At 43.7% G+C, this 24,216-nt stretch overlaps 1 long non-coding RNA gene across 1 annotated transcript in view, besides 1 other annotated feature; it reads left to right on the top strand.

Annotated features, from left to right (window-relative positions):
- Positions 1 to 23,797, top strand: part of LOC105371975 (uncharacterized) — a 32,330-nt gene extending 8,533 nt beyond the window's left edge. The window contains exon 3 of the long non-coding RNA XR_935123.1: positions 23,666 to 23,797. This is a non-coding gene — a long non-coding RNA (uncharacterized LOC105371975). The remainder of the gene's footprint in view (positions 1 to 23,665) is intronic.
- Positions 3,119 to 3,290: a silencer, noted in NCBI's record as "fragment chr18:7347954-7348125 (GRCh37/hg19 assembly coordinates)". NCBI's record gives its function as "represses an EF-1alpha promoter that drives an FKBP-Casp9 reporter gene in an ReSE screen in phorbol 12-myristate 13-acetate-treated (for megakaryocytic differentiation) K562 erythroleukemia cells {active_cell/tissue: K562(+PMA)}" and the evidence as "EXISTENCE:reporter gene assay evidence [ECO:0000049][PMID:32094911]".
- Positions 23,798 to 24,216: the final 419 nt, after the last annotated feature.

The following is a 24,216-nucleotide window of genomic DNA, read 5'->3' as shown; positions in this document are numbered from 1 at the left end:
GCTTTTAATCGCTTCATTTGATATCTTAATGGTGTTTCTTTTGAATGTGATGCTGTTCGGAGAACTTGAAAGTTCAGCTTCATTTGGGTGACACATATGAAATGTTATTCCTCTCTCTTTGGTGGAGGAGAAATAAGCCTGCATTCTTTCTGCTTCCGGGTTTTGGGCTGCACATCCACAAAGGCTGAAAGCTGCCATCCCAGGACCATTGGGCTTAGAGGGCCAGGTGCTGAGACAACTATAACCAGAGAGCTCTGCAGCACCCCACGATTTCACACATTCTAGACTCTTCCCTCAGGCTTCTTTGTGTACAGGCATTTCCTCAACTGGGACAACATTGCCCGAGTGGGCAAGAGTACAGCATGCAGATGAATTAGGTCAGAGGCCTGTCCTCACAAGCGCCTGAGCCTTCACCTGCCAAAAAGGACGAAAATTTGATCTCCACCACAGGAAGGGCTTTTTTATGCAGCTACATTTCCAACACCTAGAATAGTGCCTAAATATTAGAATGAAATCCCATGGACAGGGAGGTATCCATTGACATGACCGCTTTTATTTCTTTTCGAAATGCATTTTTAAACATGCATTCCTTCATAACACAGACAAAAATGATGGGGTTGACAAACCTGGACATTGCTTAAGATACAGATGGGCCAGAAAAAAAAATATTTAGAGAAATAGATGGGTTCCTGTGTGCTTTTGAAGTGGAAGAAGAAAGGAATCAGTACTGTCTTCTGCCTGAGATATTCAGTCTAAGAAATATTGCTGTGCTATGAAATTACTTACTATCCAAAAAGAAGGCCTCCGGGGATTTAAAATTATATTGCATGTGTCTATGTAGTATATTACAGCACGTTAAAAAGGTAAAGTAAATTAAAAGCCTTAAAATAATTTACATAATTTTTAAAGATCCCTGTGGCGTATTAATCATGCCTTCTACTCTATTTATCATCTTTTTGTTTTTGTAAATAGAAACAGTCTCAGAATTATGCCACTTGACTAATAGGTGGCCCTTGTGTAGAAATGGCCACTGACCCCTGTCCCCTTATCACGCTACAGGAGTGACCAGTACCAAGGGTCCTGGCTGCCTCTCACTCCGCCAGCGCCCCAGAGCTATTGCTCATGGAGCCCCCACTGCTAGTTTTTAAGTTCAACTTCTTCTCTTTATCCCTAAGTCTTCAAGAACCCAGGTTTTGGAATACCCTTAGTAGCATCCCAACTGTGTTATGATGAATTAGGCTTTTGGGGCTAGCCTGAGAATCTGACCTCCACTGAGAATATGTGGATCAATTGCAAGTCAGTATAGAATGATAATTAAGAATGGGGTTCTGGAACAGGCAGACTACCATTCTTGGTGTCCAGGTTCTGACATGTATTAAGGGCATGACCTTGGACAATGTGGCTGCTCTTTGCCTCAGTTTCCTCCCCTGTAAAATGAGAACAATAGTTACAACCAACTTTATTGGTACTATTATGGGCTGAATGTGTCCCCTCAAAATTCATATGTTGAAGTCTTCATCCCCACTGCCTCAGACTGTGTCTATATTTGGAAATAGGGCCTTTAATGACGGAGGCAATTGAGTTAAAATTACCTCTGGCCATTAGGGTGCGCCCTCATTCAATATGCTTAGTGTCCTTATAAGAAGAGGAGATTAGGACTCAGACACATACAGAAGGAAGACCATGTGAGGACACAAGGAGAAGAGGCCACCCACAAGGAGAAAGGCTTCAGGAGAAACCAACTCCTTGATCAGAGACTTCCAGCCTTTAAAATTGTGAGAAAATGCACTGTTGTGGTGCTTTGCTATGGCGTTCCTAGCAGACTACTGCTGGTACCTTTGAAGATTCCATGAGACAATGCATGTTACATGCTTGGAATAGTGCCTAGCATAGTAAGCGCTCAAGTAATTTTAGCGACCCGTATTATATAACACAATAAGCTGCTATTTCTAAATAACTTCCTTGTGAATTAAGATTTAGATCACTATCTGGTCATAATGTGGGCACTTTTAGGTATCAGGATTAACTTGAACCTTCTCTTCTTTACATTAAACATTCATCTGTTCATTCATTCGTTCATAAAATAAACATGTATTCACTGGCAACTCCCAGTCAGGAACTGCGTTTGGTGCTGGGAGCACAAGATGGATGGCACACAGATTGTAATGCTTCCTTGAGGAGCTTAGAGTATCTGGAAATGGTCCAACATGGCGCTTGGCATCATTAGAAAGATAGATAGAGTGGTAGCTGGAGGCTGGTCAGGTTGAGCATTGAAACAAAACAGAGCGATTGTCCGTCTGCAGAGCAGGCAGATGAGCGCCTCTCTGGACAGGAGGCCACTCTTGGGATGATGTGGGTTTACTAGAGAAGCTCTGCGGTCACCCAGCACTGACCTGCAACATCCAGAGAAAGATGGCTCTGTCTAGCAAAACATTCACGCTGGGCTTGAGCTTAACAGGTTGCAAGCAAAGTCCAGCTCTGCTGGTGAAATTACGGCCGGGGCGTGTTGTGTAGTCTAACGGGAAAAGTGCTGATGCCGACCCATCTACCTGGCCACGCTCTCTAGCAGAGAACTGGAATCGTCACTTATGCTCTGCAGGAAAGCTGCTTTCATAGCTAGGCCAGATTTCTTTGCAATTACAATGTCAGTAATGAGCTTCATAGTTTCTCTCTTTTGTAAAACCACTTCTTCAGGTATAATTGATATACAGTAAAATAGACATATTTCAGTGGTAAAATTTGATGTGTTACACCACAAGGCAGTAAACATAGCCATCATCCCCCAAATTCTCCTCTTGTCCCTTAGTGATCCCTTTTTCCTGTCCTTCCTCCGCACCTGCAGGCAACCACCAGTCTGCTTTCTGTCACTATCAGTTAGCTGGCTTTTTACATTATTTTGAGATTCACCCAGGTTGCTGCTGTGTATTCATGCTTCCTCTCTTTTTGTTGCTAAGTGGTATTCCACTATATAAATATGCTGCAGTTTTCTTATGCAGTCACCTGTTGATAGACACGTGGGTTGTGTCCTTTTTGGGCTTTTGCAAATAAAGTGGTTATGAACATTTGTGTACAGGTCTTTGCATGGATCTCTGCTTTCTTTTCTCTTGGGTGAACACCTAGGAATGGAATGATTGGATCGAATGGTAGGTATACGTACATCTCTTTTTTTTTTTTTTTTTGAGAAAGAGTCTTGCTCTGTTGCCCAGGCTGGAGTGCAGTGGAGCTATTGCAGCTCACTGCAAGCTCCGCCTCCTGGATTCACACCATTCTCCTGCCTCAGCCTCCCGAGTAGCTGGGACTACAGGCGCCCACCACCACGCCCAGCTAATTTTTTGTATTTTTTAGTAGAGACAGGGTTTCACCATGTTAGCCAGGATAGTCTCGATCTCCTGACCTCGTGATCCGTCCGCCTCGGCCTCCCAAAGTGCTGGGATTACAGGCGTGAGCCACTGCACCTGGCCGTATGTACACCTTTTTAAGAAACTGCAAACTGTTTTCTGAAGCAGCTATATCATTTTGTATTCCTACCACAAGTGCAAGAGATTTCTAGTTCTTTCACATCCTCATCCATATGTTCAGTCTTTTCTAATTTTAGTCATTTTAATAGGTGTGTAGTGGTATATCATTGTGGTTTTAATTTGCATTTGTCTAATGGCTATTGATGAAATGTTTGTTCAAATCTTTAGCTGACTTTTTATGGGTTGCTGGTTTTCTTATTATTATGTTTGGGTTTTTTTCTGGATGCAAATACTTTATCAGACATATGCTTTGCAAACATTTTCTCTCAGTCTATGGCTTGACTTTTTATTCTCTAAACAGTGTAAAGAGCAGATTTCAAAGTTTAATGAAGTCTAATTAGCCAATTTGTTCTGTTATGGCGCATGCTTTTGGTGTCATATTTAAGAAATCTTTGCCTAACCTAAGTTTACAGTTTTTCTCCTATCTTTTCTTTGAGAAGTTGTATAGCTTTAGGTTTTACATTTAGACATATGGTCTCTTTTGAATTAATATCAATTGGGCCAATTTGGTTCATAGTTGTATTCAGGTCTTTTATACCCTACTGATTTTCTGTCTAATTGTGCTGTCAATTATTGAGGGCGGGGTCCTGAAATCTTGGACTATATTTATGGATTTGTTTATCTTCCCCTGTGCTTCTATCAGTTGTTGCTTCATGTACTTTTGAAGCTCTATTATTAGATCCATATTGAGGATTGTTATATCTTGCTGATGAATTTACCTCTTTATCATTAAGAACTGACCTTCTTTATTCTTGGTAATATTCTTTGCTCTGAAATCTACCTTGCTTGAGATTGATATAACCACTGCAACTTTCTCTTTTTTTGAGACGGAGTCTCGCTCTGTAGCCCAGGCTGGAGTGCAGTGGCGCGATCTCGGCTCACTGCAAGCTCGGCCTCATGGGTTCACGCCATTCTCCCACCTCAGCCTCCCGAGGAGCTAGGACTACAGGAGCCCGCCACCACGCCCAGCTAATTTTGTTTCCGTATTTTTAGTAGAGACGGGGTTTCACCGTGTTAGCCAGGATGGTCTTGATTTCCTGACCAAGTGATCTGCCCGCCTCAGCCTCCCAAAGTGTTGGGATTACAGACGTGAGCCACTGCGCCCGGCCTACCCACTACAACTTTCTTTGATTCATGTTAGTGTGGAATATATTTTTAATCTGTGTCTTTATATTTAAACTGTGTTTTTCGCATGTTTATAGCAGCACTGTTCACAATTGCAAAATCATGGAACCAACCCAAATGCCCATCAATGAGTGGATAAAGAAACTTGGTGTGTGTGTGTGTGTATATACATATATATATATATATGATGGAATACTACTCAGCCATAAAAAAGAATAAATTAACGGCACTTGTAGTGACCAGGATGAGATTGGAGACTATGATTCTAAGTGAAGTAACTCAGGAATGGAAAACCAAACATCGTATGTTCTCACTGATATGTGGGAGCTAAGCTATGAGGACACAAAGGCATAAGAATGATACAGTGGACTCTGGGGATTTGGGGGGAAGAATGGGAGGGGGCGAGGGATAAAAGACTACAAATAGGGTGCAGTGTATACCGTTTGGGTGATGTGTGAACCAAAATCTGACAAAGCACCACTAAAGACCTTACTCATGTAACCAAACACTACCTGTACCCCAATAACCTATGGAAAAATTTTTAAAAAATTGTATTTTTATAGGCAGCGTAGTCTTGCCTTTTGGTCCAATATGACAATTTCAAACTTCTGGTTGGAATTTTTAGTCTATTAACATTTACTGTGAGCATGGATATGCTTAGGTTTAAATGTACTCTCTTCCTATTTATTTTCTATTTGTCTCTTTGTTTTCTTTTTCTTCTTATTCTGCTTTCTCTTGGATTAACTAAATACATTTTACTATTTCATTTTATTGCCTTAGTTGAATTATGAGCTTTAACTCCTTGTTTTGTACTTGGGTGATTCTCTTAGGATTTTTACTATGCATCACTAACTTATTCTGGTTAACTTTCAGGTGATATGACACCACTTCATATATATAACAAAAGAATATAAAATAGTATATCCCATTTCCCTCTGCCAGCCTTTGTGCTACTGCTGTCATATATTTTACCTTTCCACATGTTAGAGATTCCACAATACATAATTGTTATGTTTGTTTAAATAGTCAATTATCTTTTAAACTTATTTAATAAGGAAAAGCAATCATCTATGTAATCATTAGTTATTATTTCTGGCGCTCCTGATTTCTTTTTTTTATTTATTTTTATTATTATTTATTTATTTATTTACTTTTTTGAGACGGAGTCTCCCTCTGTCACCCAGGCTGGAGTGCAGTGGTGCCATCTCGGCTCACTGCAAGCTCCGCCTCCCAGGTTCAGGCCATTCTCCTGCCTCAGCCTCCAGAGTAGCTGGGACTACAGGCACCTGCCAGCGCGCCCAGCTAATTTTTTTGTATTGTTAGTAGAGACGGGGTTTCACCGTGTTAGCCAGGATGGTCTCGATCTCCTGACCTCATGATCCGCCCGCCTCGGCCTCCCAAAGTGCTGGGATTACAGGTGTGAGCCACCACGCCCGGCCACTTATTTTTATTTTTATTTTTTATTTTTTTAGATGGAGTCTTGCTCTGTCACCCAGGCTGGAGTGCGGTGGCCTGATCTTGGCTCACTGCAAGCTCCGCCTCCCGGGTTCACATCATTCTCCCACCTCAGCCTCCCGAGTAGCTGGGACCACAGGTGCCCACCACCACAATTGGCTAATTATTTGTATTTTTAGTAGAGACGGGGTTTCACTGTGTTAGCCAGGATGGTCTTGATCTTGTGACCTCGTGATCCGCCCGTCTCGGCGTCCCTAAGTGCTGGGATTACAGGCCTGAGCCACCCCTCCTGGCCGATTTCTTTGTATAGATCCAAATTTCCATCTGGCATCATTTTCCTTCTGTCTGAAGGACTTCCTTTAAGATGTTTTAATAGTATGGTTATGCTGGAATAATGAATTCTTATAGCTTTTGTGTGTCTAAAAATATCTACATTTTGCCTTCACTTTTGAAAGATATTTTTATTGGGTATAGAATTCTGAATGACTTTTTTCTTTTAAAACTATTTCTCTTGTCTTTTTATTTATATTGCCTTTGTCAAGAAACCAGCTGTCATTCTTAACTATGTGCCTCTTATGTATGTCTTTTTTCTCTGGCTGATTTTTAAATTTTCTTTATCACTAGTTTGAGCAACTTCAGTTTGGTTTGCCTTTGTGTAGTTTTATGCCTTGGAGCTCATTGAACTACTTGTGACACTGAGTTTATTGTCTTCATCAATTTTGGAAAATTGTTGGCCATTATTTCTTTCAATATTTTTTTCTTCCCTGCTCTCTTTTGGAGACTTCAGTGTCACGTTAAGGTGCTCAAAATTGTCTCATAGCTCACTGCCCATATTTTTAGTTTTAAAAATCCTTATTTATGTTTTAGTGTGGATAGTTTCTATTGCTATGTCTTCAGGGTCACTGATCTTTTCTTCTGCAATGTCCAACCTCTCATTAATCCCATTCAATTTTCATTGCGGACATTTTAGTTTTTATCTCCAGAAGTTGCATTTGGTCATTTTGTACTTCTAGGTCTCACTTAACTTTTTGAACACATGGAATAAATTTATAATAATAATGTTTTAATGCCATTGTTTGTTAATTCTAACATCTGTGTTAGTTCTGGGTCAGTTTCAACTGAATGATTTTTCTCTTTATTATGAGTCACATTCCTGCCTCTTCTGCTAATTTTTTACTGGATGCGAGATATTGCCTTTTCGGCTACTGGATGGTTTTGAATTGCTACAAGTATTCTTGAACTTTGTTCTGGGACATAATTAAGTTACTTGTAAATAGTTTGATCCATTGAATCTTTCACTTAAGATTTGTTAGGTAGGACAAGAGAAGGGCTAATTTTCATCCATTACTGAGACAAGACCGTTATGAATGCTTTACCCAGTGATCGGTGCCTGGCTCGTGGGAACAGGTACTATTCTTGGCCCTGTGAGCATTGGGTATTATTCCTTCTTATCCTTTAAGATAAGTAAGGATGTTTCCCCATCTTTTGTTTTATGCTGCACAGACATGCACTGATCGGTAGGTACCCAGCTGAACACTGAAGAACTTTCTGCAGATCACTGGGATCTCTCTCATAGTATCTCTCTTTCCCCTCTAATATTCTGGCCTGCAAAGTCCAGCCACCTTCTTCTCCCTGGACTTTCAACCCTGTCTTCTCAATCCAGAGTCTGCTCCTGCTGGTATCCCTCTTCCTGTGCTATGGCCTGGGAGCTGTGATCGGGCAGTAAACTCAAGTAGTTAAAGGGCTCACATCATTTGCTTCCTATCTCCAAGCAAACACTGTCCTTCATGACTGATGTCCGGTGTCTTGAAAAACAGTATGTTATATACTTTATTCACAGAAAGTATGTCTTTTATGACCTAGCCTCAGATGTCACCTTTGTTATATCTTTCTTTCTTTTTCTTTTCTTTTTTTTTTTGTTGAGATGGAATCTCGCTCTGTCGCCCAGGCTGGAGTGCAGTGGTGCAATCTCTGCTCACTGCAAGCTCTGCTTCCCGGGTTCATGCCATTCTCCCACCTCAACCTCCCAAGTAGCTGGGACTACAGGCGCTAACCACCACTCCCAGCTAATTTTTTTGTATTTTTAGTAGAGACGGGGTTTCACCATGTTAGCCAGGATGGTCTTGATCTCCTGACCTCGTGATCTACCCGCCTCGGGCTCCCAAAGTGCTGGAATGACAGGCTTGAGCCACTGTGCCCAGCCACATTTTGTTATTTCTACCATATTCTACTGATTGGAGAGGAGATATTACTGAGGAGATATTACCCAAATAAATAAATATCTGAAAACAAGAATCACTGGAGGCTGGTCACCACACACACATAGTAAATACACCAACTCAGAGAGTGAGAATTAGATTGGGCAGACAGCACGAAGCCAGGAAACAGTGCACAAGAAAGAGTTGAGAGCCCTCAGAAAGAGTTGGGACAGAAATAATTCCATTCTACTCTCTGTTTTCTATAAACACCTGTGTCCCAGTTGAGCTCTCTTCACATTGTTTCACTATTATTTAAGTGCTAGTCTCCTCTATAAATTGAGAATTTCTGGAAAGCAGAAAATATCTCATTCATATTGGGTTCTCCAAGCTTCTCATATCATGCCCAAATGACAGTAGTAGCTTAAATGTGGTTTCTTGAGTGGAATCGAATTAAATAGTGTAGAACAGTAAATTGACTAATATCTATCACGTAGCACTAAATGTTGAGATATGCTAAGGTGGTAGTGGCACAATAAAGGTAATGATGATTTTAAAACACTGACCAGAACCACAAGTTAGGGACAGAGGCCAAGAAGGTCCAATCCAAAGCTGAGACTATTGTGGCAATTCAGGCATAAAATGGTAAGGTTTGGAATACATAGAAGTAAGAAGTGGGAATAAAATGAAAGATGAATCCCACAACCATATGAAGAAAATAATTGATAGGACTTATTGCGAGTTGGGCTTGAAGGGAAGGAAGGGTCAAGATGATTGTAGGGTTTCCAGCTAAGGAGACCTAAAAGTTGTGGTGTCATCAAAAAAGTAACAGTGCTCGGACCTGGATACATCACTCCCCTCCCAAAGTTGTTCTTCCTTTATTTCCTATCTTAATAAACTAAGCTAGAAATCTTGGAATTATTCTTGATTATTTTTCTCCTTCTTACCTATGAATCAAGTTGGTTACTCTTGCAGCTTGGAATTCCCAAGAAGCTGACGCAGATGGAGTTAGTGTGCGGCAGGCTTATTAGGATGTGCTTCTAGGATCAACCCTGTGTAAGGGACGGAATTGAGGCAGGATTAGACAGAGGGAAAAGTGGGGCTCATGTGGACACAATGGCAGCCTTGTGGGGTTTCACAGGGAGGACTGGAGTTAGATGGTCCTTCAGAGTGGCCCTGAATTGGACCAAGTTGACCAAGCCTTCATGCCCTCACATCACTGTCATTGGGCTTTGGGATGGGAAGTGACCTCAGGCAAGAAGCTGTGTGCAACTCAAGCAATCCCTGATGGGACTGGCAGCTGAAGACTGCCTGCTCATGGCATTCTCAGTAACTGGGGCAACAAGTCGTTCACTGATGGGTGTCTGAATGGCATGTTGTGGTGTGCACATCATGACCATCCTCAAGTCTCCATCCCAGCCTCACCAGTTATTTGCAGTTCCCCTTACTTCTTTCCTGAATTGCTGCAACAGGGTCCTAGCTTGTCTCTCTGCTTACTGTCTTCAGCATTCTTTAATCCATTTTCCACACTACTGTTGTGATAATCTTTCTAAATCTAGATATAATCATGCCATTCTTCTCCTCAAAACCATTCAAGAGCATCTCATCACTTGTGGGATTCACAATCTGGACCTCCATCCTAGCTGTACTCTGGCCCTGAAGAACTATGTGGAGTTGGTGCTAGGCTTTCACATGCCATCTGTTTATTTATCCGTCAGATACCTTCCCCCTTGGACCTGACTTTTTGCTTAGCTAACTCCTCTTACCCTGTCTTTCCAGACTCATCTCCTTTATGAAACCTCCATGATTCTGCTACCCTAGGTTAAGTGGCATCCCAATGTGTTATTATAGCCCCCGGTATATGTCTTTTTGTAGCATTTATTACATGATGCTCCAAATGTCTATTTCCAGAGATTCATCTTGTTGAGAGTTGCAGACACAGCACCTAACACATGGCCTGGTGTGTAGGGGGCTCTCAAATGTTTGGACAGTAAATGAGTTAGTCAAACAATTGCTTAAAAATATATTCTCCCATCGGTGGCTCACGCCTGTAATCCCAGCTCTTTGGAAGGCCAAGGCAGGCGGTTCACAAAGTCAGGAGTTTGAGACCAGCCTGGCCAATATGGTGAAACCCCGTCTCAATTAAAAATATAAAAATTAGCCGGGTATAGTGGTGGGCACCTGTAGTCCAAGCTACTCTGGAGGCTGAGGCAGGAGAATCACTTGAACCTGAGAGGCGGAGGTTGCAGTGAGCTTAGATCATGCCACTGCACTCCAGCCCAGGCAACAGAGAGAGACTCTGTCTCAAAAAAAAAAAATGATATTCTCCCAATTTTATTCTCTGGATTACCAACAACCCTCTTTTGGACATCAGCAACAGGGTTTTTAGAAGCAGAAATCAGTCTTTTTTTTAAATGTTTTTCATTATTTATAAGAAATTTTGTGGGTAAATAGTAGTTGTATATATTTATGGGGTACATGAGATGTTTTGATACAGGCATGCAATGTAAAATAATCACATCATGAAGAACAGGGTATTGATCCCCTCAAGCATTTATCCTTTGAGTTACACACAATTCAATTACATTCTTTAAGTTATTTTAAAATATTCATTTGAATTATTATTGACTACCATCATCCAAGTGTGCTATCAAATAGTGGGTCTTATTCATTCTTTCTATTTTTTGCACCAATTAACCACCACAGGAATCAGTCTTGAAACTGAGGTTTGCTTACAGACTAGGTCTGATCTTCGCGTAAAAATATTACCGTCTACCAAGTTTAGCCAAGGAGCTACTTTGGCTCATGATTGAAGATCTTCTCTGTGACTGCTGATTAAGGTACCTAGGGGAGGAATTTGCTCACTGTTCTGACACCAGCGTCTAATTTGCCCTCTGCCCTCTTCCTCTCACAGCGCATGGAGTAAATCCCAGAGCAGAAGTGGGAGGGAATGTGTGTCACCCCCACCCCAACCAGAGCTGCCCATGCAGATGCAGAGCTGTGTGGATGTCATTTTCTGCCACTGGGTTCTGGGTTCTGGGTTTCCAGACTGGGTGAGAAGAGATAGTAAGACTTGGAGGGTCCCCCTGCCCCCGCCCCAGCCCACTGTTTCCCAGACCCCACTGCTTAGTTGGCTTCCTCCCTGAAATGAAAGAGAATCTAGCAGCAACACACAGAGAACCCTCTACGCCACTCATCAGAGTTGTTGACAATCATTTAGTGCTTCCTCACCTATAAATCAGGGTTCTAGATGAGGTTTACACTTCCATCAGCAGTAATCCTGCTCTCATGGGGCCTTCTAGCTTTCCCAGGACATCTACATGCAGGAGCTTAGAGACTGATTATGTGGGTGACAATCGCCTCTCAATAAATCCTCACACCTTATCCATCTGTATTTGTTTAGAATTACTCCAAAAAGAACTCTCAAACAGAATTCCATATTGCCTTAAATACTATTGGCTTTTTGGAAGTCACAAGGACTCTTTGGGAAACTTTAAATAATTTATTTTACAAGGCCATCCTCTGTCCTGGGAGGTTTTCATGTTGAATTCTATTAACAGCTTTTGTCTTCTGTTATAATGCATATATTAACAATTAAAAGCCATTTAAAGTAATTGATTCAATTCACTAAAGCCAACAAATTAATTAACTGATGCATAATTAATCAGAGCAGCAAGGCATCCATTCTTCAGGGACCAGATAGGAAAGCTGTGATTTGTGTGCTCATCAACAGAGTAGATACAGTCAGCTGTGCTCTTGAACCAGATACTGATACAATTGGGGTCATAATTTAAGGGTCGAAGGATGTTCAGCCCACAAAAGGAACTCTCGGCCTTGGCAGCTCTGTTCAACATGAGGCAGTGTTACACCATTGTATTAGTCAGCTTGGGCTGCCATAACAACAAAATGCCTGGCTTACATGACAGACATTTATTGCTCATAGTTCTGAAGGCTGGAAAGTTCAGTATCAAGGTGTCAGCAGATTTGGTTCCTAGTGAGGGCTCTCTTCCTGGATTACAGATGGTCTCCTTCTTGCTATATCCTCACAAGGCAGAGAGAGAGAGAGAGAGCTCTGGTCTCTCTTTCTCTTATTATAAGGTCAATAGTCCTATCATTTCCCACCCACCTATGACCTCATCTAAGCCTGTACATCTCCCAAAGACCCCATCTCCAAATATTATCACACTAGGGGTTAAGGCTTCAACATATACATTTTGTGGGGACACAAACATTCAATTCATAAAAATCATGCTCTGACCAGGTTTTTTTTTTCTTTTTTTTTGAGATGGAGTTTCGCTCTTGTCGCCCAGACTGGAGTGCAATGGCCAGATCTCAGCTCACCACAACCTCCGCCTCCCAGGTTCAAGCAATTCTCTTGCCTCAGCCTCCCAAGTAGCTGGGATTACAGGCATGCACCACCACACCCGGCTAATTTTTGTATATTTAGTAGAGACGGGGTTTCTCCATGTTGGTCAGGCTGGTCTCGAACTCCCAACCTCAGGTGATCCACCCGCCTCAGCCTCCCAAAGTGCTGGGATTACAGGCATGAGCCACTGTGCCTGGCCCTGACCAGGTCTTAAGATAGACACAGAACTATTGCATATCAGAGCTGGGTGATCCTTATAGTCTGTCCTTGTCTGTTCTCAACACATACAGGTTGAATATCTCTTACTCAAAATGCTTGGGACTAGAGTAATTTTGGATTTTTGATTTTTTGGGGGATTTTGGAATCTTTGCATATACATAATGAGATATCTTGGGGAAGAGATCCAACCCTAAACATGAAATTCACTTATTGTTCATCTACACCTTATACACATAGCCTGAAGATAATTATACAGAATATTAAAAAAAAGTTTTGCATTTCCATTGTGTACAATATTACCTTTTTTTTTTTTTTTTGAGACACAGTCTCGCTCTGTCGCCCAGGCAGGAGTGCAGGGGCGCAATCTTGGCTCACTGCAAGCTCCGCCTCCCGGGTTCATGCCATTCTCCTGCTTCAGCCTCCCAAGTAGCTGGAACTACAGGTGCCCGACACCACGCCTGGCTAATTTTTTTTTGTATTTTTAGTAGAGAGGGGTTTCACCGTGTTAGCCAGGATGGTCTCCATCTGCTGACCTCGTGATCCTCCTGCCTCAGCCTCCCAAAGCGCTGGGATTACAGGCGTGAGCCAACGCGCCCGGCCCTGTGTAGAATATTTTCAATAATTTTGTGCATGAAGCAAAGTTTGTGTACATGAGGTGAGGTGTGGGCATTCAGAAAGTTCCAGATTTTGGAGCATTTTGAATTTTGGATTTTCAGATTAGGGAAGCTCAACCTATAACAGTATACTTAAACTGTGATCTGAGGAAGGTGTCTATCTGTAATTTATTTCTGGTCTTTGAGGGAATGAGTCCAGAAATTGACAGTAAGCATTTAGAAACTCTGATGGCAACTTGACAGAGTAATTTTATGATGTCTGCTGTATCTAATATTTAAAATTTGGGGCTTATATTTTTATGCCCTTTTTCATTAAATTTCTCTCATAACTCATTTTTATCATGTTTAAGTTTCAATGGGCAATGGATTATAGATTGTAAAAAAGCAAAGCAAAACAAAAACAATTCGTCTTTCCCACAGATATTTCTCAAAGCACTGCTTTGGATCATTCCAGAAATCTTTCAGCTCAAACCTTGCAAAATACTATCTTGAGCTGAATATGTTCTAGGGGAGATAACATGAGCTCTAATATGCCTTTGCAACTGTGTTAGAAAAGGAGATTTAAGATCCCTCGCATTTTCCTCTGGAGGTGCTACTACGCGTTGCAGAGTTAAATGCGATCTACAGAATAAGATGAACAAAGTGTTATCAAAGCCATGTAAGCTGTAAATAACATAGCTGCACTTATACTCATTTTGAACATGTGCCTACTGAGAGGGTCACGAGTTAACTGTGAAAAGTCACATTATTCTACAATCACCAGCCACAGTTGCACATTTGGGTGCATTAGAGTAAATCACAGTGAATTAATTTCCTGGCTCAGATAACAAGAGTGCCCCAGACCTAGGACCTTCACTTTGGGCTTTTTGGTGAGAAAACAACAGAAAAGAAACCTAAGAGTCATTATTTGGGATTGTGGGATGTTGATAAACGAGTTAGAACAGAAGTAGTTAGCCATTTCCAGCACTTTACTAATAAAAATGGAGAGAGTACAGCTGTTGCTTTCACCTGAAGTGGAATAGACACTTGCTGGGGGCTGACTTTACTTTGTCCTTGGTTTGGGGTAATGAGAATGCCTTCCAGCAAGTTTGCACAAGACATTTCAGGATGTAGGAGCTGTAATCACTTTTATAGCCCCTTGGATGGGATTTAAGGTAGGCTTGTCTTGACAATTTATAGATTTGTTTGTTTGTTTGAGTCTCGCTCTGTCGCCCAGGCTGGAGTGCAGTGGCACAATCTTGGCTCACTGCAAGCTCCACCTCCCAGGTTCACACCATTCTCCTGCCTCAGCCTCCCGAGTATCTGGGACTACAGGCGCCCGCCACCATGCCCAGCTAATTTCTTTTTTGTATTTTTGGTAGAGACGGGGTTTCACCATGTTAGCCAGGATGGTCTCCATCTCCTGACCTTGTGATCCACCCGTCGCAGCCTCCCAAAGCGCTGGGATTACAGGCATGAGCCACCGTGCCCGGCCTCAACAATTTATAGATTATTGTGCATAAACATATAGACCAAGCTTGTCTAACCCACAGCCTGCAGGCCACATGGAGCCCAGGACGACTTTGAACGCGGCCCAACACAAATTTGTAAATTTTAAAACATTATGAGATTTTTTTTTTTTTAGTTCATCAGCTATTGTTAGTGTTTATGTATTTTATATGTGGCCCGGGACAATTCCTCTCCCAGTGTGGCCTAATGAAGCCAAAAGACTGGACATCACATGGGACATTGAAAACCATATGGGACAACTACCCACAAATCCATCCATCACCTCTCATTCCTTGAACTCCTACCATATGCAGGAGCCTTGATTTGGGAGTGAAAAGGTCCATGACTCCACTTTTGTGTGTAAGTGGTCTTTGAAATATGATCTCATGATTTTAAAAAGTAAAACTTGTATTCCAAAAATAAAAGTTGCTTATTGCAAAACAGCTACCATATTGCCTTGTCATAACAGAATAGAAATCACTCACTTGAGATTGTACACGGATCTGTTTAGTTAAATGAATGGAGGCAAACCTAACATACTGAATCAGGAGTGTTATATTTCCAAAAACCAAGTAAGCCACTCAATTTAATGTCCCTGGTGCTTTTGAAATCACTCAAATAGCAATGCAGAAGATCAGTAGTGGAGAAAATCAGAAAGATCTGGGTTCAGCTCCTAACGTCACCACTTTCTAACAATAGAATCTTGAATACTTTATTTGACTTCTCTGAGCCTTGTTTTCCAAATCTGTAAAGTGGATATAATGATACCTATCCTTAAAGGTTAATTAATGGCTAACATTTCTAGAATACTTCTAATATACTAGTCCCTGTGCCAAATATTTACATAGTTTTTTTTTCACTTCCCCTCATAGCAAACCTTCAAAGTTAAATAGTGTGGTGACCTGGAACCCAGATTCAAACACTCAACCATGACAGCTTTAAAGATAAAGTATATAAAGGACTTAGCATAGTGCCTGACATATAGCAGTTTCTTAATAAATGAAGTCATTGGTCTATTACTATTATTGCTACTAATGTGCAATAATAATAGACAAAAGCAACGTAGAGGTGAAAGTGCAGACGCCTGGCCTTTGCCCTGGGGTTTCCCCTCTGCTGAGGAATCTGTGGCTGCTCAGCTTTAAGGGTGCAGGGAGGTGGCCACATTCCTCAGGCCCCAGCCCTGGCCTCAGGCATGAGGCAACAAGGAAAGCAGGTTTACCTTCAGGGCAATCCTTGGGAAAAGAATAATTTTAGGGACAACTAGAAGGCTCCGTGGTCTCTCAAATATCTCTCCTAAGGCCTGGATGCTGCCTAAAACTCATTTCAGGGTAGCCACACCACTCATCCTGCTAGGACAGTAAGAAAGCTCAAATACGCCAATACCCAGGAAAGGGTACACAAAATGTGAGTATAGTTCAGGCAAACAGCATAAAATGATATGAGATCTTAAGAGCTGTGACACTAGAGACTTTTCTCTTTTTTAAAATTTTTTTATTTCCATAGGTTTTTGGGGAACAGGTGGTGTTTGTGGTGTTTGGTTACATGAGTAGGTTCTTTAGTGGTGATTTGTGAGACTGTGGTGCGCCCATCACTCGAGCAGTAAACACTGAACCCAATTTGTCTTCTTTTATCCCTCGCCCCCCCACCCTTTCCCCCTAAGTCCCCAAAGTCCACTGTGTCATTCTTATGCCTTTGCATCCTCATAGCTTAGCTCCCAATTATGAGTGAGAACATGCAGTGTTTGGTTTTCCATTCCTGAGTTACTTCACTTGGAACAGTGGTCTCCAGTCCCATCCAGGTTGCTGTAAATGCCATTAATTCACTCCTTTTGATGGCTGAGTAGTATTCCGTGTGTGTGTGTGTGTATGTGTGTGTATATATGTGTATGTGTGTGTATATATTATGTGTGTTTATACATGTGTATGTGTGTGTGTGTATATATATACATATATATATCACAGTTTCTTTATCCACTTGTTAATTGATGGGCATTTGGGTTGATTCCACATTTTTCCAATTGCAAATTGTGTGACACCAGAGACTTTACAACGCAGGAGAACAATGGTCACCTGGCATGGGTCAGAACGAGATGTTATTGAAAGAAGAGAGGGGAGAGAAATGATGTCGGGGGTGTTACAGTTTTACATCTTGCTGGCATCTCTTGTCTTCATCTGTGTGCAGACAGGTGACATATTGTGAGGAAAGGGAAGAGGCTTCCGGAAGAAGCGTGCCGTGCCTCAGTGCACCTCAGCGGGAACTATGCGGCCACGTTACCCAGCTACGCTCTGCTCCTGTGGGGGCCTGGGTGTATGTGTGGTCCCTGCCCCTCCGCCCTCTCCTCTACCTTTGTACCACATGTGGCATAATGGTTATCACAGGTACCTCCCTGGGTTCTAATCCCAGCTCCCTGCCCTGCAGCTGCCTGAGTTTGGAAGGTGTGTGAGGATGAGAGGATCCCGGCCTCACGCCCCGCTCTGCACCTGGCATGTGGTAAGCAGTTCCCAGACAGTCTTCCCTTAAAGCCCTCCCAGGAGGCTGTTGGGCAAATCAGAAAGAAAGTGTTTGGGGTTTGATATGAGAAAAAATAAACATAGGAACCAAAATCACCCTTTCTCCCCTCTTCTCACCAAGTGGGGTCTCCCCCGCTTGCTCCCCTGCCCAGGACGAAGCTAGGCACTTGAGACATGGAGGGGACCTGGCGAGACTGAGAGAGAATCAGGAAAAAGCACCAGGGAGCCCCTGCCATCAACCCTGCAGTGGCACCACATGAAAACCCAGAATGCCACTCCCCCCGCTTCTCCAGCTCCTCTCCAGCCTGGACTCCCTCAGACTCAAGGGCCATGCGGGGGATTACGGTGGGGGATTGCAGTGTGTCACCAGGCCTGTGACCACACAGGAAATGGCCAGCATAGTCAGGTCACCATCCTGAGCTTTATCCACCTTCACAGGAGCCCAGGCAGCCCTGCTCTGCCCTCCGGCCCTTCCAGTCCCAGGCTGTCCCTGGCTTCTGGTAGGGACTGTAGCATTCTCCACGACACACATTTTACCCACATGGGAAGTGGTTATGCATTTACTGAGATTACACAGTTTCTAAATGTTTGCTTTCTGCTTCATGCAGATTCAAATCAGAGATGTATTTCTTTGACATGAATACAAGTCTTTTAAGACACCAACCTTGCAGGCCAGAAGGAAGGGGTTCCCCCTGCCACACCCTCTCTGTGACCTGGGGGAGTCACCTCTCTCTGCTCTGATTCATGATTTTCTCTGGAGGTAAAATGAGAGGGGTGCAGGACACGATCTTTCAGGACAGCCCCCACTCTAATTCTCCCTGGCATTGGTCAGGACAGTGGTGTCAAATGAAATTCTATTTCCCAGGCCTCAGTTTGCGCATCTGGACACTGAGATGTCACCGCCTTGTGACAATTTACCTAGTATGAATATTAGTGAGCTTGACACTCTCTTTCCAGCTCTCGCTAAGTATCCCTCACACCATGTCCCCATCTCCCCCAAGAAAAAAAGGGAAAAATGAGAGTTTTAACTAGTCTCTGGTGCTGTGTGTAGGCTGAGACTATCTGATGACAAAACCAGGATAGGATGACTCAGTCAATATACATTTAAATTCAGCCAATAAAAAATATTCAGAAAAGCCTGTGGAAGCATCATAGAGTCAACAAATGTCTGCTGGGCCTCTACCATGTGCTAAGGTCCCTTGGATAAATTGAATTAATAGGTTCCTTCTGGAGGAATGTACAGTGTATTATGTGGAGATAAAAGCACCAATCCAAGTCACTCTCATTCAAGGTTAGAGGGGGTAAGTGCCACAAAAGAGATACAAATTAAATACCATAAGAGTGGCCAGGCGCGGTGGCTCACGCCTGTAATCCCAGCACTTTGGGAGGCCGAAATGGGTGGATCACGAGGTCAGGAGATCGAGACCATCCTGGCTAACATGGTGAAACCCGTCTCTACTAAAAATACAGAAACAAAATTAGCCGGGCATGGTGGCGGGCAACTGTAGTCCCAGCTACTCGGGAGGCTGAGGTGGGAGAATGGCATGAACCCAGGAGGTGGAGCTTGCAGTGAGCCGAGATCGCACCACTGCACTCCAGGCTGGGTGACAGAGCAAGATTCTGTCTCAAAAACAAACAAACAAACAAACAAACAAACAAACAAAAAAAAACCATAAGAGCTCAAAGGAGAGGAAGTTACTTGTAGCCAGGGATCAGGCCACCCTGACACCCTAAATCCTCGTGGTAGGGATGGCTTTGTGGAGAAGGGGGCGTGAGGGATGAGCTCTGAGGGAAGGTAGGATGTGGATCTATGAAGGTAAGGGTGGGGTGTGGAGGAAGGGGAGGGGGTCATTCCAGAGGAGAGGCGTGGTGGGAGAAAAGGAAGTCCAGGGGATACCCATGGCAGTGGATGGTGCCATTAGAAGGGCCTGGTCCTGGCCGGGCACGGTGGCTCATGCCTGTAATCCCAGCACTTTGGGAGGCTGAGGTGAGTGGATCACCTGAGGTCAGGAGTTCGAGACCAGCCTGACGAACATGGTGAAACCCCGTCTCTACTAAAAAATACAAAAATTAGCCAGGCATGGTGGTGGGTACCTGTAATCCCAGCTACTCAGGAGGCTGAGGCAGGAGAATCACTTGAACCCGGGAGGCAGAGGTTGCAGTGAGCCGAGATTACACCATTGCACTCCAGCCTGGGTGACAAGAGGGAAACTCCATCTCAAAAACAAACAAACAAACAAAAAAGAAGGGCCTGGTCCTGAGCAACGAGGTTAAAAATGCTGGCTGAGATCTTAGAAAGCCTTGAACTCGGCCGGACATGGTGGCTCACGCCTGTAATCCCAGCACTTTGGGAGGCCGAGGTGGGCAGATCAAGAGGTCAGGAGATGGAGACCATCCTGGCTAACACAGTGAAACCCCGTCTCTACTAAAAATATAAAAATTAGCCGGTCGTGGTGGTGGGCGCCTGTAGTCCCAGCTACTTGGGAGGCTGAGGCAGGAGAATGTCGTGAACCCGGGAGGCGGAGCTTGCAGTGAGCCGAGATTGTGCCACTGCACTCTAGCCTGGGTGACAGAGCGAGACTCCGTCTCAAAAAAAAAAAAAAAAAAAAAGAAAGCTTTGAACTCTAGAACAAATAATGCATGCCCTATTCCTAAGTCATTAGGAGACAGGGTGTTTTGCAGCAGGAAAAGACATGTAGGAATAGAAGAGGGGGGAAGGCAGAGAGAAGGGGCTCTGTGGAGAGAATACTGCACTCATCCAAATGAGACAGGATGGTGGTTGGACTATGGTTCCATTAGCGATGAGAGAGAAAAGGGTTAAAGCAGCAGGACCACACGTCTCTCCAGGTTGCCAGGAGTTGCCCCGGCTTGTGCCTGTTGCTCTGGTCTTATGATTAATAATGCTCTCTTTAACTCTAGTTAAAGGTGACACTGAGTTGGCTAAGCGCAAGGGAGCAGCAGTGAAAAAGAAACAGATTTTGGAGGAAAAACAGTCTGGTTGTGGCTATATTAATTTTGAGGTCCTGTTTGGGCTTCTGATGGAAAAAGGTGACAATAATACAAATGGCCATCATGTGAGTGCTTACTCTGTGCCAAGCACAGTACTGACTCCTTCACTCTTCGCTGTCACCTTATGAAATGGTACTGCTATCCTCCTTGGATAGGTGATGAGACTGTGCAGAGAGTGTCATGTGGTCAGGAAACAGCTGAAAATTCCGGCCTTGCCCTGGGGCAAGGATTCAGAGACAAGGACTGGGGGCCTACCGGCCAAAAAGAGGTGGCCAAGGCCAAGGGGCTCAGTTCTGAGTTGTCATGGCAGGCTGGAGAGTGAAGCAAATGATAGGAACGGAAACAAACATGGAAACAGCAGAAGAAGAGGAGGTCAGGAGACCCAGAGGGAAGGTTCAGCTGGAGGTGGAGAAAACAAAGTAACAGTGTCATGAGAACCCGGCAGGAGAAAAGCTAAGACTCTCACCAAACCTGCGTAGGAGGTGTTTGTTGTGCCTTCCAGGTGGTGATGAGTTAAAACCTGAGTGTTTTTATTACACTGTGTGACTGCTACTGTTTTGAGTACTTGTTTTGCAGACTCTAGGAAATGCAATAGCTGTGAAGTTCCTTTTTTCTCTTGTTAGAAGTAATAAGTTACTCTGCTGGAACTACTGGTATTCCAAAATGTAGAATAGGTTAGAAATGATTTTCTCTTTCAGTTCATTTTATATTCTTCCTCCTTGCTCCTTGAGGAACTTGATCCTTTTATGCTGAACCTATCTTTTGATTCGGGACAGAAATCGAGGATTTCTCAACTTAGGAACTATGGACACTTGGGGCTGAAACATTCTTTTTCTTTTATTTGAACATCATAAGATGTTCAGCAACCTCCCTGGCCTCCACCCACCAGGTGCCAGTAGCAACCCTCCTTCCACAGCTGCGACAATAAAAAATGTCTCCGGACATTGCCCGTTGTCCCTGGGAGCAAAATCTCCCATTTGAGAACCACTGTGATAAGCTCATTAATACGAAGGTGTAGCGACTTAATATGTTATTTCTTCAATGAATCTTTCCCTTTTGCAAGTGGAACTAAGAAGCCACGCAGGCCCGCAGAAATATCAATTTCTTGATTTTTCTGCAGCCCAATGAATCTCTACTTTAAGCTTCCTGATGGCAGAAATACAATCCATATAATGGATAGACTTGGTCATCTTCAGGATTGGATTTGACCAATTCATTTCAGGGTTTCTCCTTGAGTCCTGGGCCATTTGCACAGTGTTGTGACATCAGTCAGGAGGGAGCTGGGCTTCTTGTCACCACCTCCCATATAGCTAGAGGGGAGGCAGCCAGTGTCTACTTCTCTTGTTTCATCTTCGCCTCCTTACCTTCCCTCTTTGCAAGCTTGGAGGAGGGAGGGGGAAAGGAAAGGATCTTGAGCTTAAAAGCCAAGAATCTACTGTCTTTGTTCTCTGGTTCTGCGAGGATAACTTCCCCCTAAGACAGTGATGAATCATTGCTAGCTGCCTGGGTGGAGGAAGGCCCTGGGGCCCAGTGGAGAAATTGCCTGGAAAGAGAACACATGGCTTAATATCCTCCTGCCCTCCTCTCTTGGCACTCCTCTGTCTGCAGGTACCACTGCTCTGGGGATACATACAAAGCAGCAGTTTCCAGGCAGGGCTCCATAAGCCATATGATACTGCACAGGGGCCCTTCATGGATCTCATTCCACCGGGCTTTTGGATGGATAAATACAGGTCATAGGTATGGAACTTAAAAAATCCATTTCTCATCATCAGTCATCAAAACTACATTGAAATACATATTATAAAGCAGCATCTCTTCCACATCTCTACAGACCTGTGGATTACAATGAGAAATCTGGGAAGGTGTGTCAATATGAAGCCGAATGTTACTAAATGTATGTATTTGACCTATAGAGAACAATCATTCCCTTTATACTGGGGACACAGTAAGACAGTGAAAAATAGCACTGCCTTCCCACACCTATATTTAAGAATAAACAGCATCGAGCATTTATCCAGCACTGAAGAGCCTACCTCATATGGTCTTATAATTACCAAGATAACTATCTTTCTTTAACCCTCCACACCTCCTACCCTATCCTTCCTCACAGTGATGAGCTTGCTTCCAATTTCACTGGGAAAATAGAAGCGGTGAGAACAGAGCTCACACAAGCTCCATCTGCCTGTGCCTGTGTTCCTTGTCTCTCTCCTGGTATCTGGAGGAACTGCCCAGGTTCCCAGCAAGACTAGACCCATCCTCATCAGACCCATCTCTTCTCGTCCTTAAGAATTCCTTCATGCAAATGGATGGGCGTGGTGGTGGTTAACGCCTGTAATCCCAGCACTTTGGGAGGCCGAGGCGGGTGGATCACTTGAGATCAGGAGTTCAAGACCAGCCTGGCCAACATGGTGAAACGTCGTCTCTACCAAAAATACAAAAATTAGCCAGGTGTGGTGGTGAGTGCCCAGCTACTTAGGAGACTGAGGCAGGAGAATCACTTGAACCTGGGAGGCGGAGCTTGCAGTGAGCCGAGATCGTGCCACTGCACTCCAACCTGGGTGACAGAGCGAGACTCCATCTCAAAAAAAAAAAAAAAAAAAAAAAAAGAATTCTTTCATGCAATTAATTCTCCTGGAAGTAAATTCACTCTTTCCTGTCTTGTCAGTCTTTTTATTGTTTTTTCCACATCAGAAGAGTAAACAAAATTTATTTTCTTCCATATCAAAGGGGGAAAAAACCCTCTATGGACTTTGTCTTTCCTCCACTACCACTTGCTTTCTCTCCCTCCTCAGGGAGGGAGAAACCCCTCAGCAGGGTTGCTTAGTATTGCCTTCTCTGTTCTTTCATCAACTTGCCTGGTCAGCTTTGTGAGCAAAGGCACCAGGAATCTGCAGTTGCTAAGCCCCAGAGTCAGCACCCACTGCCCAGTCTCAAACATCACTCCCTTCTTCCTGACACTCTCTCTCCACTTGGAATCCAGAATCCCACAGTCTCTTCTCTTCCTCCCATTCTGCCTCGGTCTCCCGGCCATTTCCCTTTTTCTCCCACCTCTGCATATGGCAGAGTCTTTGGATGTGCTCTTGCTGTCTCTTGGAGAGCTCAGCTAGTTTTTTGACTTCAAATGCTCCTACTTACTGGTAACACCCCAAATTTATGTCTCCAGCCTGGACTTCAGACTTCAGTACACATCTACCTGCTTGGAATCTCCATCTGGATGCCTACAGACATCTGAAATGAAAATGCTTCGCCGGGTGCGGTGGCTTACGCCTGTAATCCCAACACTTCTGGAGGCCGAGACGGCCGGATCACAAGGTCAGGAGATCGAGACCATCCTGACTAACACGGTGAAACACCCGTCTCTACTAAAAATACAAAAAAATTAGCCAGGTGTGGCGGCGGGCGCCTGTAGTCCCAGCTACTCGGGGAGGCTGAGGCAGGGGAATGGCGTGAACCCAGGAGGCGGGGCTTGCAGTGAGCCGAGATCCTGCCACTGCACTCCAGCCTGGGTGACTGAGCGAGACTCGTCTCCAAAAAAAAAAAAAAAAAAAAAAAAGAGAGAGAGAGAGAAAAAAGAAAAGAAAATGTCTCAAGCAGAGCTCCTGCTCTCCCCCACCCACCTACCCCACCACTTCAAACCCGCCTCTCTACTTTGTCACCTGAGTGAATTGCAATTCTATCCTGCTGATTGATCAAGCCAAACACCAATGAGCAATT

This window comes from Homo sapiens, chromosome 18 (genome assembly GCF_000001405.40).
Source record: "Homo sapiens chromosome 18, GRCh38.p14 Primary Assembly".
Lineage (NCBI taxonomy): Eukaryota > Metazoa > Chordata > Mammalia > Primates > Hominidae > Homo > Homo sapiens.
This window is presented reverse-complemented; position numbering and strand designations above follow the sequence as displayed.